This window comes from Homo sapiens, chromosome 2 (assembly GCF_000001405.40).
Source record: "Homo sapiens chromosome 2, GRCh38.p14 Primary Assembly".
NCBI classification, from domain to species: domain Eukaryota; kingdom Metazoa; phylum Chordata; class Mammalia; order Primates; family Hominidae; genus Homo; species Homo sapiens.
In genome coordinates this window covers 71840635-71858354 of record NC_000002.12, presented here as the reverse complement: position 1 = coordinate 71858354, position 17720 = coordinate 71840635, and the positions used below count along the sequence as shown (strand labels likewise).

General features: G+C 50.5%; 2 annotated features.

The window, feature by feature from the left end:
- Positions 8882-9176: a silencer, noted in NCBI's record as "tiled region #1897; K562 Repressive non-DNase unmatched - State 21:Repr". NCBI's record gives its function as "represses a minimal TATA promoter and a strong SV40 promoter by Sharpr-MPRA in K562 cells {active_cell/tissue: K562}" and the evidence as "EXISTENCE:reporter gene assay evidence [ECO:0000049][PMID:27701403]".
- Positions 15090-15272: a silencer, noted in NCBI's record as "fragment chr2:72070213-72070395 (GRCh37/hg19 assembly coordinates)". NCBI's record gives its function as "represses an EF-1alpha promoter that drives an FKBP-Casp9 reporter gene in an ReSE screen in HepG2 liver carcinoma cells {active_cell/tissue: HepG2}" and the evidence as "EXISTENCE:reporter gene assay evidence [ECO:0000049][PMID:32094911]".

Below are 17720 nucleotides of genomic sequence, written 5' to 3'. Positions count from 1 at the left end.
TTCGGCTGGAACAGCACACAGTGTGTGGTGGGCCTGGGGGGGCATCCAGAGGTCACTGGAGCTGGGAAGGCCCCAGGCAGGGGCTGAGCAATGTGTCACTGCCAGGGCTTGGCAGGGGCTGTGGCCCTGGGGGGTGGGAGCAAAGGAGCGCCTGGAAGGTGGGAGGTGGAGGGCAGAGCTGGGAGGCCTGGAGCTGCCAGAGGAGACCTGAGGTGGGAGTGGGGAGGACACCGGAGCTTAGAACAGACCTTCTCATTGGCCACTTCCTGTCCCAGCTCCCAGGGTCTTTCGTAGGGTCTTCTGGCTCTGATTTGGGAGGTACCACCCCAGCCAAGAATTCCTCTTTCTTTTTTCACTAAATTAAATAATAAAGGGACTGTGTCTATCTCTATTTCCATGTAGCCAAGTCTGAGCCTCGGCTGATCCTGGAAGCCAACCAGGTACGTGGAAAGAGGAAAAAGCCACAGCCAAGGAAAATGAAGCGATGCCTTGAAGGCCAGATGGAGGCCATGGGCAGGGATCTGCAGGAGGCCCTGGACTGAGGGGCCGAGGAAGGGGGGCTGTCTGGCCTCAGACAGACAGGGGAGAGCAAGTCGGGGGTGGGTCCCCCACAGTGGGCTGCTGGAGGGTGGTCAGCCCAGGTTGGAGTCAGAACACGGGCATGGGTGTCCCATCAGGGTAGAGCTCCCTAAGTCTCCTTGAAGGTCCCACAGAGAGCAGAGAGGTCTCCAAGTTTGGTGAGGGGTAGGAGGGAGGGGTGGTGGGCTGGTTTGGTTGGAGGAGGAGGTCAGTCAGGGCTTGAACCCATTCCCCAGCCTGGTACCCTCAGCTCTTCACCTTCCAGCCTTGAGCTCACGTTGGCCCACAGCTCCACTCCTCTTTTCTTCCACCCTGACTCCCATGTCCCCATGCCTGGCCGAGCCTCCCACTGAGGGCCATTAGGGCTGCACCCCAAGAAGGGAAATAGGGCAGTAGGGAGGAAGGACTCTGTCCATGAACTATTCCTGAGAAGACACACTCACTACTTTGCTGCTGGTAGCTGTTACTCTCGCCCTCCCCTCCCTCCATGCCCGCTGCTTCTGGCGTGGGTGGAAGCCCTGACAAAGAAAGCCCCCTAACCAATATGCTGTGTGTGCTCCAGGCTCCTCAGACCCTCTCTCACACCCCAGCCAGAGTCATGGTTCTACCTTCAAATTCCACCCTTGCCTCACAGCACGACCCACTGATGTTCCTCTCAGCTCTCAGGAAAAGTTATCAGGCATGGCCCCAAAGGTTCTGCCAGGTCCCTGATCAGCACCCCCTACCCCTGCAACACCGCATCCCATACCCCCACCTTGCCAGTGCTCTCATACCCACTCTGCCCCACTAATAACTTCCCCAGCATTCTGCACTCTCCCTGCCCTCACACCGCCTGCCCCCTCTGCCAGGATAGTACCCACTGACACGCACCTGGTTAATACCTCTCATCCCAGCACCAAGGACAGCGCCTGGCACAGAGCAGATGCCCACAAACAAGGATGAACTGGTGAGTCTTTCAGACTCTGCCCTCCTTCCCTTCCCTCAGGCCAGATTGGGCTTCTCATTCAATATTGCTCATGTTGTATTGAAATAAACTGACCATTTATGTAGGTGATAGGATTTTTGCATCCTCATTGATGTATTTTTCCCTCCCAGTATTTATCTTCAGCCCATGGCTTTCTCCCAGCTAAGCTGGACTGTGACGCATCAATGCCTCCGGAAAGGGCTGTTTCAATAGAAAGCAATAGACCTCTTAGAGTTCACAGCCTACCCTGAGTGGATGGAGGAAGTGACAGGATGCCCCAGCTTAGGATAAAGGGAGAGAAAGGAAGATGGGAGGAGAAGAGTGGAGGCTGGACAGGAAGACACTGCACTCGGAGAAACTGTGTATCCAGAGGTGGAATTGGCATCCTGAAAGGCATGGCCCCTTCTCAGTCTGCTCCATTCATTACCAACACCAGGAAGCCCGTGGGAACCCACAGGTGTAACTCCAAACTCCCTGATCTCCACTTGAGTGGGCCCCCTTGGAGGTCCTCCCTGATATCTGAACAGCACATGCTGTAGGCAGCAGCCAGAATGCTGCTGACTGACTAGGAAGAGAAAGGGAAAAGCCTCCCTCCATGTTCCATGTCTACTCATTCCACACCCAACTCACCCAAGGTGGAGCCCCACCATCACTGTGATATCACACGCATGCGGGACTCTGAAGGGGAAGTGGGACACAGGAGGCTATGGAAACAAAAGTTCCCCACACCCATTTCACACCTAACAGAACAGAGCCTGCTCAAGGCATTCCTTCCTGCAGGACAGCAGCAAAGACAGCACATCCATTTTTCGCATTGCTTTCATACTAGGCCAGGAGCCTTGGGCCGGCTGCATCCCCAGCTCTTAGCATGCTCCCTGGCACATTAGAAGTTCTCAATATATCTGAGGTAGTTATCCTCTTCCTCTCCCTTACTAACAAAACCTCACAGCTGTTCAGGGAAGCCATGAGATTCCTTAAAAATAGTCAGCTTTCTAGAATCCCTTGCAGCTAGGATGGCATTAAGACAGTGTTCTGGATAATAAAATACAAGTGGGACAACGAGATAAAATATCTGGTGGCTGGAGCTCCTGGGCAAGCTTGTTAAAGGGGCTAACTCAAATGACATGTTCCTTTTCCCCTTTCATCCATATTAGTGCCTGGAACATGGACACTTTGCGTTTCATCCATATTAGTGCCTGGAACATGGACACGAGGTTCAAGGTTCATGAGGTATGGAAACCAGCTTGCAATAATGATAACATATTTCATACCCTAAGGATAGCAAAGCAGAATGGTAGAGAAAGTATGGGTCTCTAATAGCATTGTGGAGGCCAAACTATGCCATCCTTGGATTACTTATCTTTGGACTTCTTGGTAGTGAGTGTATCAGTTAGCAATTGCCTCAACAGTGCTGCGGGACAAATCATCCCCAAAGTCAATGGTTTAAAATAACAATGACTTATTCCCACTCTTGCATCTGAGGATCAGCTGGTGTTGGCTCCAAGCTGCAGGCTGAGTCTGCCCCATGTGTCTCTCATCCTCCTAGGACTAGCATTTACCCAGAGCGTGTTCTTCCCATAATGAGAGTAGAATCCTGAGAGGTCAAGCTTAACAGTGCAAGCACATTTCAAGTACCTGCTTGCATCACATCTGCTGGCATCCCTTTTGCCAAAGCAAGTCACATAGATGAGCCCACGGAGTTGTGGGTTAGCAAAGTATACTCCACCTCTAATAGCAGGAACGAAAAATTCACATGGCAAAGACCACAGATGTAGAGAGGAGTGAAGAATTGCGGCCAGAAATTAGGAAATGCAGGCTGAATGAATAAATGCTGAGTGACCATTATGTACCAGGAACCATTTTAGGTGCTTTGTGCTTATTAGTTATCTCATTTAACCTTTGCAACAACTGACGTGAAGCAGGTTTTATTCTATTTACTTTGCAGATTAAAGAAAGTGATGGCTTAAAGAGGTTAAATATTTCATCTCTTGTGAAAGGTAGGGCTTTGACTCAATCCGGGTTCTGGCCAATCCAAGGCCAATTTCCATCTATTATATCATGTGCTCTAATTTTTTCCCCAGAATCTTCTGGGAAAAAGCAGGTGTCTGACTTTGGAATCTACACTGAATGGAATATTAGCTTAGTATCTTGTCTCTGAATATCTAGACTGCAGGCCAAGTAGATTCTAAGTTATGGGTGGGAGGTGGGTAAAGAAAGACTCTGAGAATCCAGACCGCATCATTTATAAGCAACAGAAACTTAGTCTGGCCAGTTTAGGCAGAGAAAGGTTATTCAATGTCCCCCAGAATTGCACAAAAGGGTAGAAAGACAGGCTCAAAAAAACAGATGAGAGTAGTGGAAGGCTGAAAAGCCAGGGCATAGCCCAAAGCACGTCACAGAAGGGGCTCTGAGATGCACCAGCTCTGAACACTGGGCACAACAGCTGGCACTGCTGCTGCTGCTCTCCCTCGAAACTGAAGGCTGCTGATGCTGAAGTGACCACCAGAATCATTCTTCCCTGTCCTGGGTTTGGTTTAGAGTCCAGGCAGGGAGTCTCCAGCCCTGATCAGATGCCCCCATCCCAGTCGCATGGGAAGTTAGCATCCAGCTTCAGCATCTGTAGCAGGAGTGGGAGTGGGAGGTGGCTGAGCCTATGCCTCTCCACAGCCTCTCAACAGGTTCAGCCAGCAATCAGCTGCTACTGTGGTCAGTGAGTGTATGAAGGAAAGGGAGGCCTGCCCTCTGGATTCCAGGCCTGTGCATACCCGTGTGGCACCCGCTGTGGGCAGCGGTGAGGCAATGCGGTACAGAGTTGGAACCTGAGCATCCTGCCCTCTGGGTCCTCACCCGGCCCAGGGGCACTTTTATGATGGTATTTCTCTCAAGAGCTCCCAGGCTGGTGAGAGAAAAGTCTCACCCATAGAAAACTTCTGGAGACATCAGAACAAGGGCAAGAAATGCATCTCGGCCTTTAAGTGCTGCTAAGAATTCAAGGAAGAGATTGGGGATGTCAGGGAGGGCTTGGCTGAGATGGGCCTTGGAAGAAGATGGTGTTTCAGGATGGAGGGATGAGGGAGGGCATTTTGCTGTGAGTGGAGTTGTGAGCAAGAGAAATTTCTGTCCCTTTAGCATCTCTTACTGAGATATGCCAGTGACTGGCCAGCTCTCTCCAGGGATAGGGGGTAAGGAATGACAGAGGGGGCCTGGGTTCATACCCCAGCCCAGCTAACCATGAGGTTTGCAGCTAGAGGCTTCTTAAGTGTTGGGAAGAGCACAGGCTTTCAATCTTGTTCCTGATTCTTCTGATTTTGAGAGCTGCTTCATGTATCTCTGAGCCTCAGTATCCCCATCTTTAAAGTAAGCATAATAGTAGTGCCTCCCCTGGGCCTGCTGGGAGTGTTACAGTGAGGTAAGGGATATAAAAGGCTTAGGACATGGTCAGGCACATAAAAGCACATCTTATAGCCAGTGTGGCTGCTGCTTCTGGCAACGACACAGCAAGGTCAGAAAAGTGCCCAGCATGCAGGCAGGGTCCATAGTGGGCACCAGTGCATGTTTTCCTTCCCTATTCCCTGATTCCAGTGCTGTCCCTCCCACCCAGGTGCACAGTGTCCTCAGCGCTGCCCCTACCCAGGAATCCCTCAGCTCTCTGATCTTGGAGCATGTAATGAAGGGTCTGTGGGAGGACAGAGAGTGCAGGAAGTGTGGGCACCCTCAGCCTCACCTCCCCTTGTGTCCTGCAAAGTGTGATAGAGGCTCCTGGTCACTCACTCAGCCAGGAGGTGCTCCCTACAACCTCCTGGGTCTGACTGGGAGCTCTCTGAGGTGAGCCATGCCGCGTTACCTGGATGGGCACAGGGCTGGGGGTGGAAGGACAGTGGAGGGCACAGACTACAGCCTTACCCAGAATGGGCCTCCATCCCCCACTCACCTTCTCTCCACCCCACACACCCCCAAGGTAGAATGGGGGCAAGGAGCTCCACGGCAGGACATAGAGGCTTAGAGGAGCTTCAGGTGCCCTTGACCTCAAAACACCGGGGCTGGGTCAGCTGGACTGCCCTGAGCTTTGAGGGGAGGGAGCAGTGTCCCTGTTCTTACACCTTCAGCCAGGCACAGCTCACACCACTAGTTCCTGGGGTCAGGGTCTGGATACTTTTCTCCCTCCAGCCCCGCAGGTCCAGGCTCCGGGCTGCCCTTTCTTCCCTCCCAGCCAACCTACCGAGCAGCCCTGGGCCAGCCCCAGCTGCCGCTCCCCTCCCCGCCTCCCGTCCCCAGCACAGAAGCCCTGTCAAGGATCACTGCAAAGCACCACGTGGAGATCTAATCTGGGGCGGGGGCGCCGAGCTGAGGCGGGGTGGAAGGGGTCGACGAGAGGAGGAAATTAATGATTAAATAATGGGTTCCAAATGTAGCGGCTCCGAGTGAAATCCCCAGCCGCAAGCCGGCAGGCTGCACGCTCTCGGCCCGGCTCCAGGAGCCCCGAGGAGGCCCAAGTAGGCGGCGGAGATGCTGGTGGCGGCGGGCAGGCGGCTCCCCCTAGGCCCGGTCAAACAGTCCTGGCCAGGACGCGGGGTCACCGGGTTGCCTGTGGGGCCCTGGTGATTCCTGATGACAGGTGGGAGCCCTGCCACTTGGAGCATGCCTGCCGCAGAGCAGGGACCCACCGGGGGTACACGGCAGTAGGGGCTGAACGGGCAGTGAGGAAGTCTTGGCTGGCAGGGCTGCAGACACTCTTGGCCTCCATGCCTGGCACCCACTCCCCAATTCATTCCACCACTTCATTGTTCTGGCTACCCTGAGCCTCAGCTCTTCCTAGAGCAAGTCCCCAGAAAGAATCTGAGGAGAGGGGAGACCTTCCAAGACCACCAGTCCTACCCTGAACCTTCCCCCATGAGCATACACCCCTTCCTATGTGGAACTGTGACGCTTGCCCGATATGTGGGTGAGACAGTCCCCTACGATGAAACTTTGGTCTTATCTACAGCAGATTCCTTTCATTGTGCCTCAGTTTCCCTCTGAACACTGAGGGCTGGGATTCCTTTGTAGCATTCCCTGGAAGCTAGGATTGTTTTGTATGCATTTTTCTCTCTGACCAGTCGGGAAGGTGTGTGAGCCAGCCCCTGGACTCTACAGAGGTTTCTACTAGAGAGTTCTGCCCTGGGCTCTTGACACACCTCCTGCGTGTGAGGGGAGGGCCCAGGTCTGGGAAGCTGGGGACAAGTATCTTGGCCCCATTGCTCCTTTCCTCCTCCTCTGGAACCCTGCTTGGAGCCTGAAATTTTCCACACTGAGCCTTTGGCTGCGGACGCTGGAACTTTTGCAATTTCCTGACTTGAAAACTGCTCCCCCACCCCTACACCCTCCACCACGTTCCCGTAGGTCTTGTGGGGGTGGTCACCTCAGCAGGGGCCCAGAGCCCAGGCTGTAGGGAGAGCATGCATCTAGGCCTTTGGCTGTGATGTTGAAAGGTGCACTCTTCGGCTGGAAGCTCCCATGCCACTGTCTGTCATTGTCTGCCTGTCTTACCCCAGACCTCCCAGGAGAATGACTCACTTAAAGGCCCAGGAGAGTGGGGATCAGTGGGGCAAGAGGGAAATCCATATCCAGGTAAATTGAATTGAATGATGGTAGTAGAATTTCTGTGTGTAAGTCCAACCATACAGAACAGATTCTACCCTGGAGTTGGGGCACTGTCCCCCTCCGAGACCAGGTGAGGAATGCTGAGAAATATGTGGGCCTGGGAAGGTGACACACAGCCCCGAAAAGCATTGGGTTTAGAGCCTGGGACCAGACCAGACTCAGAACAAATTGGAAGCCAAGGTGCCCAACTCTGCTCCTGGCCATTTCTATATTGCTGAGGCTGCCACAGTGGGCCCTGGCTGCTTCAAAATGCTGCATCTGGCCAGGGGACAGCTGCCAAGCCCGAGCCTGCAGGTAGAAGCCGAGAGGGAGCAGTTCTCATATGATTTGTGCAACAGTGCGGAGCCATGTCATTTTCCACTCCTGCAGCTCTCCAGAGCTATTCTGTATCATATCATCTGGGGGCTGATAGCCCAGACCCAGTCCAAGCCTGCCATGGGCCTTGTGTCACATCCTGCCGAGCTCTGGGGCACAAATCCTGGGTCACTTTTATGGACTTCCATTCTCTATCACTCTGGACAGGCAGGCCAAATAAACACCAGGCCCAATAAGCCTAGGGCCTTCCTCTCCCCGGGTCCCCCACACCGCCTCATCCAAAATCCACACACCATCAGGGATTGCGCGTGCAGAAGAATTTTAATAAAAACAAGCAATTCAGAAGGGCTGGCAGGGCAGCCAGGCTGGCCTTGTAGACTGGTGCTATTCCTGGCCTGGGAGGCCAGGAGGCTCTCCTAGGAACAAGCACTCCCAAGACAAATATGGAGCAACAAGCCGGCTTTGTTTTTTACCTTTGAAGACAGAGTGTCCAGGCTGGGACTTGGCCACACAGGACGAGAGGGGAGGGTCTCGGAGGGAGGGACTAAAGAGGGATCAGGGCTGACAGCAGTGTGTATTTGGGGCTCTGGTCCTTTTTGAAGAGGGTGGCCATTTAGGGTCAGTGTATGGAAGTAAGGGGGCAAAATTTTCATTAGCTTTGCCACCTGTCTGGTCTCAAGTTGTCACCTCACTCAACACCATTCCCCTGCTCGCCCACAGCTCAGTCAGGTGCCTGCTGTCCCCAACATGAAAGTCAGTCACTAAGGGCCCCGAGCCATGGCACAGATGGAGTAAAAACAAAAATCAAAAACAAAACTGAGAACTTTTAATCCCTTGGTGCTGTGGAAATGGATTTTTTCCAAAAGGAATTTAATTAAAGACAGAAAAAGACCAACATAAACCAAGAAATCGCACACACATGTGAAAAGTGCTGTGACAGCCCCATAGCCCTGGCCTGAGAAGAGAAGTCTGGGCACTGGGTTCCAGGGCCCCCAGAAGCCGGGCCTGTGGAAAGCAACCTTGTCTGCAGCAGTTTCAGAAGGCCATGGGGGTGGGGAGTCTCAGTCCTCCGCAAGGTGTGAGCCAGGCAGTCTCACGGCCCCAGTCAGGGAAGCTCAGCTCTCGGCGGCTGCCCGGTGACCATCCAGACTCAGTGGTCAGGATCCCTGCTTTCTGCCTTGAGACACGACCTTGCACTGCTCATGCACAGGGTGGTGAGGGTTGATGCTCCCTGGTACTCACCAAAGCTCACATAATAACATCTGCCCATTTTAGAGAAGTATCTGACCCTTCTCTCCAGTGGTTTTTCCTTTTCTTTCTTTTTTTTTTTTTAAGCAAAAATAGGTCTATTTTTGTGATTTTTAAAATTTGACAAAATTTTCTTAGTCCAAATCGATCCAGAAAATTGTGGTCAGCAACTCCCTCCCCTGTATGCAGCCACATCAAGGCTCTGGACGTGGTGAGCCTGCTCCTAACAGCTCTTCAGGCCCCTACGCCCTCCTTTCCGACCTGACTCCTGTCTTTTCAGATGCTGACAATGTGACTCATTTCTTTCCAAAGCCCTCACTTTGTCCCTTAATGTGTGGCTCAGCTCAGGCTGGTGGCTTCTCCTTGTCACCAGGATGCAAGATTCCCACAGCTACAGTGCTCCTGCCCCCTGGGGAGACGCCTGCCCCAGTTCAGCCTGACTCTGGGCCCTTGCGTCAGGGCACAGCCCCTCCCAGACAGCCCCCTTCTAGGCTTACAGGGCCTAAAAGGAGGTTAAATGAATGAATGAGTGAACGGTGAACCCGTTTGCAGTCTGCACACATAAAGGCCTTTCCCGAATGCCCAGGCAGAGCCACTCATTCTGTATTAACCCCTTTCTCATAACCCTTATTACACATTTCTCATATCAATATCCAATACTGATTATCTCCAGGCCTGCCTTGTGTACGCTGTATCCTCCTAACATTTAGAACCATGCCTGGCACATAGTACATGCTCAGTAAATGTCCATGGAATTAGCGACTGAGATTGATATGATTTCAATGTTTGTCCCCTCCAAACTTCCTGTTGAAATGTGATTCCTAGGTGGGGCCTGGGGGGAGGTGATTGGGTCATGGGCAGATCCCTCATGATTGGCTTAGTATCATTGCCTTGGTAATAGGTGAGTTCTTGCTCAATTAATTCTCATGTGATCTAGTTGTTTAGAAGGGTCGGAGACCACTCCCTTTCTCTCTCTCTTGCTCCCGCTCTCACCATGGGACATGCTGGCTTCCCTTCACCTTCCATCATGATTGGAAGTTTCCTGAGGCCTCACTAGAAGCAGTGGCTGGCACCATGCTTCCTATGCAGCTTGCAGAACCATGAGCCAATTAAACCTCTTTTCTTTATAAGTTACTCAGCCTCAGGTATTCCTTTATAGCAACATAAGAGCGACTGACACAGAAATGCCACTTGGAGTTTTCTCAACCTGGGCTGTGATTCTCTTTCTTCCTTTTGTTTCTGCACCTCTCACATCTCAGTTTAAGCTTTTTCTTTCCTTTCTTCATCAAAATCATTCAAGATTTCCCTGGAAGCCTCTCTCTCTCCCCCCGCCCCCACCCCCCTTCTCTCTGTGTTTCTTTTCTGAGACAGAGTCTTGCTCTTTCACCCAGGCTGGAGTGCAGTGGCACAACCATGGCTTGGTTCACTGCAGCCTCAACCTTCCAGGCCCAAGTGATCCTCCTGTCTCAGCCTCCTGAGTAGCTGGGACTACAGGTATGCACCACCACACCTGGCTAATTTTTTTTATTTTTTGTAAAGACGAGGTCTCACTCTGTTGCCCAGGCTGATCTCGAACTCCTGGGCTCAAGCAATCTTCCTGCCTCAGCCTTACCATATCTGTCTCAAGATTCTGGGGTTGTAAGGGCCTCTGCCCTCTATTAGGCTTTGCCTTCTCAAAGGCAGTGGCCTTCCATTCTAATCTCCATCTCCTCTGTTGCAGCATAGTGCCCGGCACTCACAACTGTCCTATGAATAAATGTAGAAGAACCAACAGAATGCATGAACTAATGAGTGACTATTTTTCTCAGAGTTTTTGGAAATCTCACTGGCTATCTAATGGTCACTATTCATCAGAATTCCTCCCACTGTCACTTTTCTAGTTAATTTGTTCTTGCAGATCAGAATTAACTCCAAAGAAAAATTATTAACCCTGGGTGTTATAGACTTCTGGAAGATAACTCTTCTATCTTTTATCCACTTTCCGTCTCTGCCCCACAGAAGCCACATAGCAGTCAGTTTGGTATCAGTCAGCATAAGCAAAGTGATGATATGGTAACAAATAGCCCTCAGTATCAGTGACTTAACATAGCAGGTCTGGGTGACTCTCCTGGCAGGCTCTTCTGTGCAATGTCTTAACATGGCCCCTCCACATCAGCAGGTGCCTACACAGCTGCTGCAACAAGACAGAGGTGGAGAGCTGAGCATGGCCAGGCAAGTTTGATTAACCAGAGGGGCACACAACACTTCTGCTCACATATCTTCAGTCAAAGCAAGCCACATGGTCCCTCTTAATTCCTAAGGAATGGAGAAGTGCCACCTCCCATGTACCTAGAAGGTGGGGAGAGCAGATATTGGGCAACAGTTAGTGGTCCCTGCCACACTGGAATTGGGGTCAAACTCAGCCTGCAGAGACTGGTAGAGGTTCCAGCTGTGGCTGAGGAGATGAGAAACAGAACAATGGAAAGAACCCCACCCTGGATCTCAACCAGGACTTGGACTTCTCAGTCACACTAATTACCATACCAGTCACTTCCTATGATTTTTGCCAGGAGCTCTGCCGGGAGCCCTGAGTAATCACAGCTTCACAGTTACCATCAGGGCAAGCTTTTTCAAACTTCCCTCAGGCAGCAGATTTCAGCTCAGGTCCCTGGGCCTGGGGCCTGAGCATCTTCCTCTGAGGGCCTCTCATTCAAACCTTGTCCCTGTCGAAGGGACACTCCAGGGAAGAGTGACTAGAAGGAGATGGTCTGCTGAGTTGAGTCCGCTGCCACAGCTTCACCCCTGCTGCAGCCCTTCCCAGCCCCTACCTCTTCCCTCCCCTATAACCCCCTGCCTGCAATTCCCACATCTCATGAAGTCTCTTCCCCTTTGGCTTTCTTGGCCAAACCCTTGGTCTGGGTTCCTCAGGTGCAATCTAGTGGCAGGGCCAGAGAGCCAATTTGATCTCTAGTTTAAAAAACAATAAGATGAAGAAAGGGGAACGGGAGAGGGAGGAGAAGGAGATTATTGAGCTCTCCAATTAGAGCAAGACTGGTTACAATTCTTTTTTTTTTTTTTCTTTTTTTTTGATATGGCATTTGCCAGAGCCCCTTAAGGGTCAGCTGCCTGGCTCTTTGATCCAGCAGTCCGTTGATTCTATCCTCATCAGCCCTGCCTCCTTGCTCAAGCCTCTCTGCTACCCCTCATCTTCCTCTCAAAATACCCAATGGCTCCTCCCCGCCACTCCTCAGGCACTAAGACTCCCACTCACACCAACAGACTCACTACGAGTCTGTCAACCTAATGCCTCAGATGAAACAGGGAGGCTGAGATCCCATGACTCTAGCCAGCTGCCTGCACCTTTTCACCCTCACTCCTGCTGATGCTGTGGAATGTGGCAAAGCTCCTCTACCATCCATGAATCCATGATCCTTTTACTTTTACTGGGATGCAGGCCATGGAAGTCTCACCTTTTGGCTCTGAATACCATATGCCCTGATTCTTAAATTTGCCCTCATGCCCAGAACATTCTTCTGTGCTCCAGACTGTCTTCAAGATGTTCTACTTGGAAACACCACAGCTACTTGTGTCTTAGCATGTCCAAAACTGAGCTCTCCATCTTGCCCCTATATCTCTTCCTCCCCCAGGCTCCTTATCCCTTTCACAGGCCTCTCTGAACCATGTCAGAAACCTGCAAGTGACCCTTGGTTCCCCTCCCTCACCTGCCATATCCATCCACTACCAGAACCTATGGATTCCACCTCCCAGATGTGTCCAGGATTCACTCACCTCACTTCTTTCCATCTCTACCACCACTACCCCTGTCTAAGCCTCCATCATCTCCTGCCTATGCTGCAACCCTACCCTGTCCTCCACTGAGCAGACAGGGTCATCTTCTTAAGGTATTGACTGGGTTATGCTACCACCTTGCTTAGAATCCTGCAGTAGGTTTTCAGCTGCTTCGTGATAAAGTTCAAACTCCTGACCATGGTTCTCAAGGCTGTGCATGGTCTGGTCCCACCCGCTCCCTCTAGTCTCACTCCTGCCATGTCAGCCACTTGTCATGTTTTTGAACAAGACAAGCTTTCTCCTATCTCTAGGCCTTTGCCCCTGTTGTTCTCTTGTCTGGAAGACTTTTTCCTCCATTTTTCCCCTGGTTGATGTCTTCTCATCTCAGGTCTCAGATAAAATATCCCCTCCTCAGAAGGCCCTTCCTGATCCACATTCTAAATGAGTTCTCTTGCTATTCCTCCACCTAGCACCTGGCACCTTCCCTTCGTAACACTGCTGAAATATGAAATGATGAATTTGTAGGTAGGTTATTTGACGTGTGGCTTTCCCAGCAGATTGCAAGCTCCAGCAGAAAGGGACCATGTCCGGCTAGGACCTGACTTTGTTCCCAGTGTCTTGGACAGTACTTGGTACACAGTCAGTGCTCAAGAAATGTTTGGTGAGTAAATAAATGAATCATTGGCCTTACAGATGAGAAAACAAAGGATTGGATTGGCCAGGTGACCCGCACAGTGTATGAATGACCAGAGTAAGACTACAACTCAGCTCTCCTGAGAGTCCCCTGTCTTCCCTCCTGCCCAAAACTACCACCATATTATTTATGCCACCATTGCTGTTACAATGAACAACACACTGGCTTCCAAGGATGGTGGCGCACTGGGGAAGAGAACACAGGTAGAGGCCATTCTACAAAGCCACCACACCTTCTCACTGCTCCAGCCTCCCAAGCCTCCCCCCTGTACCCCACACACTACTCATCATGGCCAATCGGCCTATGTAGAAGGGCTCCCCACTTGGCATGCCACTCCCTCCTTCTCTCCTCACTCATTCCTATCATTCTGGGTCCCATGGAAGGTTCACCTACTCCAGAAAGCCTTTCTTCAACTGCCGAGACAAGCCCCATGACACCCTTTCCTAGTGTTAAGCTGCTCTCTAGCTCTTTCATTGATGTAGAGTTCTCCCTCCTCTAAAGACTGTGAGCTTCCATGGATGGAGGCCACCCCTTTGTACCTCCTGGAATAATTCTTCCTCTGTTCCAGGCACTGTCTGAATGTCAGGGATACCAAAGGGAATAAGACAACATCTTTACTTTCATGGGAATTAGATTTTAGTGGGGGCAGACAATTGATAAGTGAATAAGTCAATGCATAATATAATTTCCTTTGGGGGTGATAAGGGGACACAGTGGTGTTGAGGAGGGCCTGATTTAGACCCAGCGTTCCTGGGAGGAGATTGGCATCATAGCAGTGACCTAAAGGGATGGGAAGGAACCAGAGTGTCCTGGCTGAAGGACATGGAAGGAGAGACCAGCCTTTGCCAGGAGAAAAGCCTCCTGCCTCTGACCCCAGGGATGCAGGGGTGGAGGAAGGGTCTGTGGGGAGGTCCCTAGGGCATGGGAGAAGACACTTGTAAGTAAGGATGCCTCCTTCCTGTGGGTAAGGATGGCTTCTTCCCTTGTTTCTGTCACAAGTGGCCTAATAACGCAGCGTTTCAGAGCAGGTGTTCAACATTGCCTCGTTCATTGATTTTTTCATGAGGTCCTTTCTTGATGCTTAGCCTAAATCCAGGCAGCTCCTACCCTGTTTAAATCTCTGAGTTTAATGGGCAGAGTTGCAGGGACCATTCTTCCTAAGCCAAAGAACTTCCTTTCTTCCATGCTGCTCCCATCTGCCTCTCTCTAGCATGGGTTATCTTTATAGAGCTTGAATCTTCTGCAGAAGTCCCATTTCCTCCCCGGGCTGGCCGAAAAAGAGCCTTAGGTCCCTGCCTCAGAAGCAGGTAAGAGGTCATCCCAGACAGATGCTGGCGCCCAGTCCAGCCTTTTGGGGCATCCTGGCCTTGCCCCATCTCCTTGGTAAATGCTGTTGCCTCCCAATCCTCCAGGCCCAGGGCTGCTGGCTGAGGCACATGTGGGTGAGTATGGTGTATTCACTGGAAGGAGTGTGCTGTTCATACAATTCCAGCCTGCAGGAGGGTGGAGGTCAGCACGAGGGCCTGAAACACTCTCTCCACTCAGAACAATTCCCAGTCCCACTGGCTTCCAGGCCTGTCCTGGAGGGACAGAGGGGAAAGGACTGGAGTGAGTCAAGAATGACTCAGAGGTGAAGACAGGGGCGATGCAGAGCAGACATTTGTGAAGTGCCTGAGCTAGAGATCAGGGTGTTGAGGAGGCCTGGCCCTCCTGTCTGGTTGCTGGGTGGGTCTTAGGCCCTTGGGAAGGGCACTGGGTCACCAAGAATGAGTGCTGATGGGCAGGAAGGGGCCCAGAACCCAAGGATCCTGGTGCTACTGGCCTGAAGAAACCTTGCAAGTGAAGTGGGGCCTCCCTGGGGCAGAAGACGAAGTTGGCATGCTCAGGTTGGGATAGTATTCTTCAAGGTTCTAGTTCATTGCTTACTTTTTAAAAGGTAAAACCCTCCTTCTCACCTTCGACTTTCAGCCTCATCTGCCTCAGCTTAGCTTTCTGGAACTATTTTTCTGCCACTGTCTATCAGGCCTCCCCATGCTGGGCCTCCACCACTGAGGACTCCACTTCCCCCTACCTCTCTCTTCTGGGTGTTCTCTTGCTCGCATGGCTTCAATAGCACAAGCACATGCATGCATACACACACATGCACGTACACACATGCACACATGCATGCACACATACACACATGCACACACACGCACACATATACACACACATACATGCACACACACACAGTCTGTGCTGAGTGGCCTTCTGACATACAGCACACACCACAAGCAGTCCCTAACTTATATCTGTAGGCTCCAGGGCCTTTTCATTGAACCACCATTCCCTCATCATCCTTGATGGGCAGGGCTCCACCAAGGCTGGAAACAGAAGGATGAACAGCATCAAAAAACAACGCTGAATGTGAGTGTGCTGGGATGGCCACAGGCCACATGCATCCTAGCTAGAGCCTTCCAGAGCAGGCCCTGAGACAAGGATGTAAGTGAAGTTGTCTATTTAAGAGGTATTTCCAGAAGTGGGGACCTGAGACAAGGAAGGGAGGGCCATCAGTGGGTGCCCTAACAAGACAGTTACCACTGTAGGCAACTACAGTTTAGAATCTGACTAGAGACTATCCAGGGACCAACATAAGACCCCTGCTCAGTCATTTTACCCAAGAATGAGGAGCTGGGTATGTATTGGTTGAAGCTGTTTGTAGGGAATGTTAACATACCCATACTTCTAGCCCGCTGTATGAAGGACAAAGCTACCAGTGACCAGAGAAACCCCTCTGGAAAATAAATATGGGGGCTGGTACTTGGAAATTGAGCCAGAATGCACTAAGATGGAAAGAGCAAGAGGATATGGGCACAGACAGCATCTGTTAAAATTTACCAAGGGATTTGTTTAAAGGAGGCAGAGATAAGGAATGGCTTCATATAGGAGTTAAATTTGAGGTGGACCAAGTAGGTTGGGCAAGGTTTTGAAAACCAGAAGTAAGAGTAGGGAAAAGCAAAGAGAGGCATTCAAGGAGAGAGAAACAGCAAGATCAAGGCCATGGAAGGAGACCACATGAACACTGGGATCTTAGAATGAACTGTGGGTAGAGATATTTTGTGAGGTGATGTATAATCTGTGGGAAGTATGAGGAGACCAGAGCTCTACGCATGGGTAGGAAGTAGAGTACTCACTGTGATGAGATCCAGGCAGGTTTCAGGAGAAAGATGATGAGTAGGGATGTGAGTACATTGAATTTGAGGTCCCTGTTAGTCATCCATGTACAGATGTCTGGTAGGTGATTGTACACAGGGGTCTGAAGTTGGAGTGGGAGGACTGAGCTGGAAATGGAAATTCAAGAGTCACCTGCTTAGAGGTGGAGGTCAAAGCTAAGGGACTGGTGAGCCCACCAGGAGGAAAAGGAGCAAAAGGAGAGAAGAGTCTAGGGGAAGATGAGGGAAGTGGAAAAATACCTTCACTTTAGATATGAAAAGGAGAAAGAGATGGAAAGTAAAGACATAGATGAAGAATGGACAGAACTCAGGAAGCCAACAGAGGAAGTTTCTAACAAAGGAGTCAAGGAACAAGAGGAAATCCTGCCAAAGCCAAGGTGGATAGGGGCCATAGATGTAACAGTTAGAGGGTCTACTGAAGACCAGAGCAGAGGTGTATATATATATACACATACATAAAATGAGGGAACACCTGGACTATGGTATCTATCAAATTTAGGATTAAAGCCTGCCACTGCTAGTAACTAGCTGTGTGATCTTGGAAAAAAATCACTTAACCTCTCTGAAGCTTTGTTCCCTCACCTGTAAAAGTGAGAATAGTAATACCACCTTTAGGGTTGCACTGCGGATTAATGGGATGATGCTTACACAGAGTTCAGCAGAATGCCTAAGTTATCATTTAAAAACATCAAGTTTCTCTCTTTTTGTTGAATTTTCCATGATGTAAAAGAAGTTGGTTGAGCCCCCATGAATGTAAGCAGTTATGTTTTAAATGGTCTCATAGTATACAGGGGTTTCTCAAACTCAGAAATCAGGAAGCTTGAGTCTCAGTGCCCATGTGGAAACAAGAGACCAGACATGGGCGATGAAATATATTCCCCACCAAAAATATCAATGGTCCATGGAATTTATTTCCCTTCATAATTCCAGTATCGTGGGATATGATCTAAGTGCAAAAATGAAATCGAATAATATTCAATTGCCTACTTTCTCTGTCTATGATTTAGATGTGGGAAAAAAATCCTCTAAAATTTTTTAACCATTTGTCTGCCTTCTTGGAAGCTTGGGCTTCATGTTTGTGCTCCTCATAGGATCCTCAGGAAGAGCAGTTTTATCCCAGTGATATCCCTAAAATGTCTGGCAGAAGCAAACACAAAATCCTTGAATATTACGTGCTTAATCCATATAGCACTAGATTTCCATAAAGACCCTCTGAAGATGAAACTCGGAGGAAAAAAAAATCTGTAATTAACTAGTAGTTGCAGTAAACTCCTAAGAATTCTGATAATAGAACTATCGA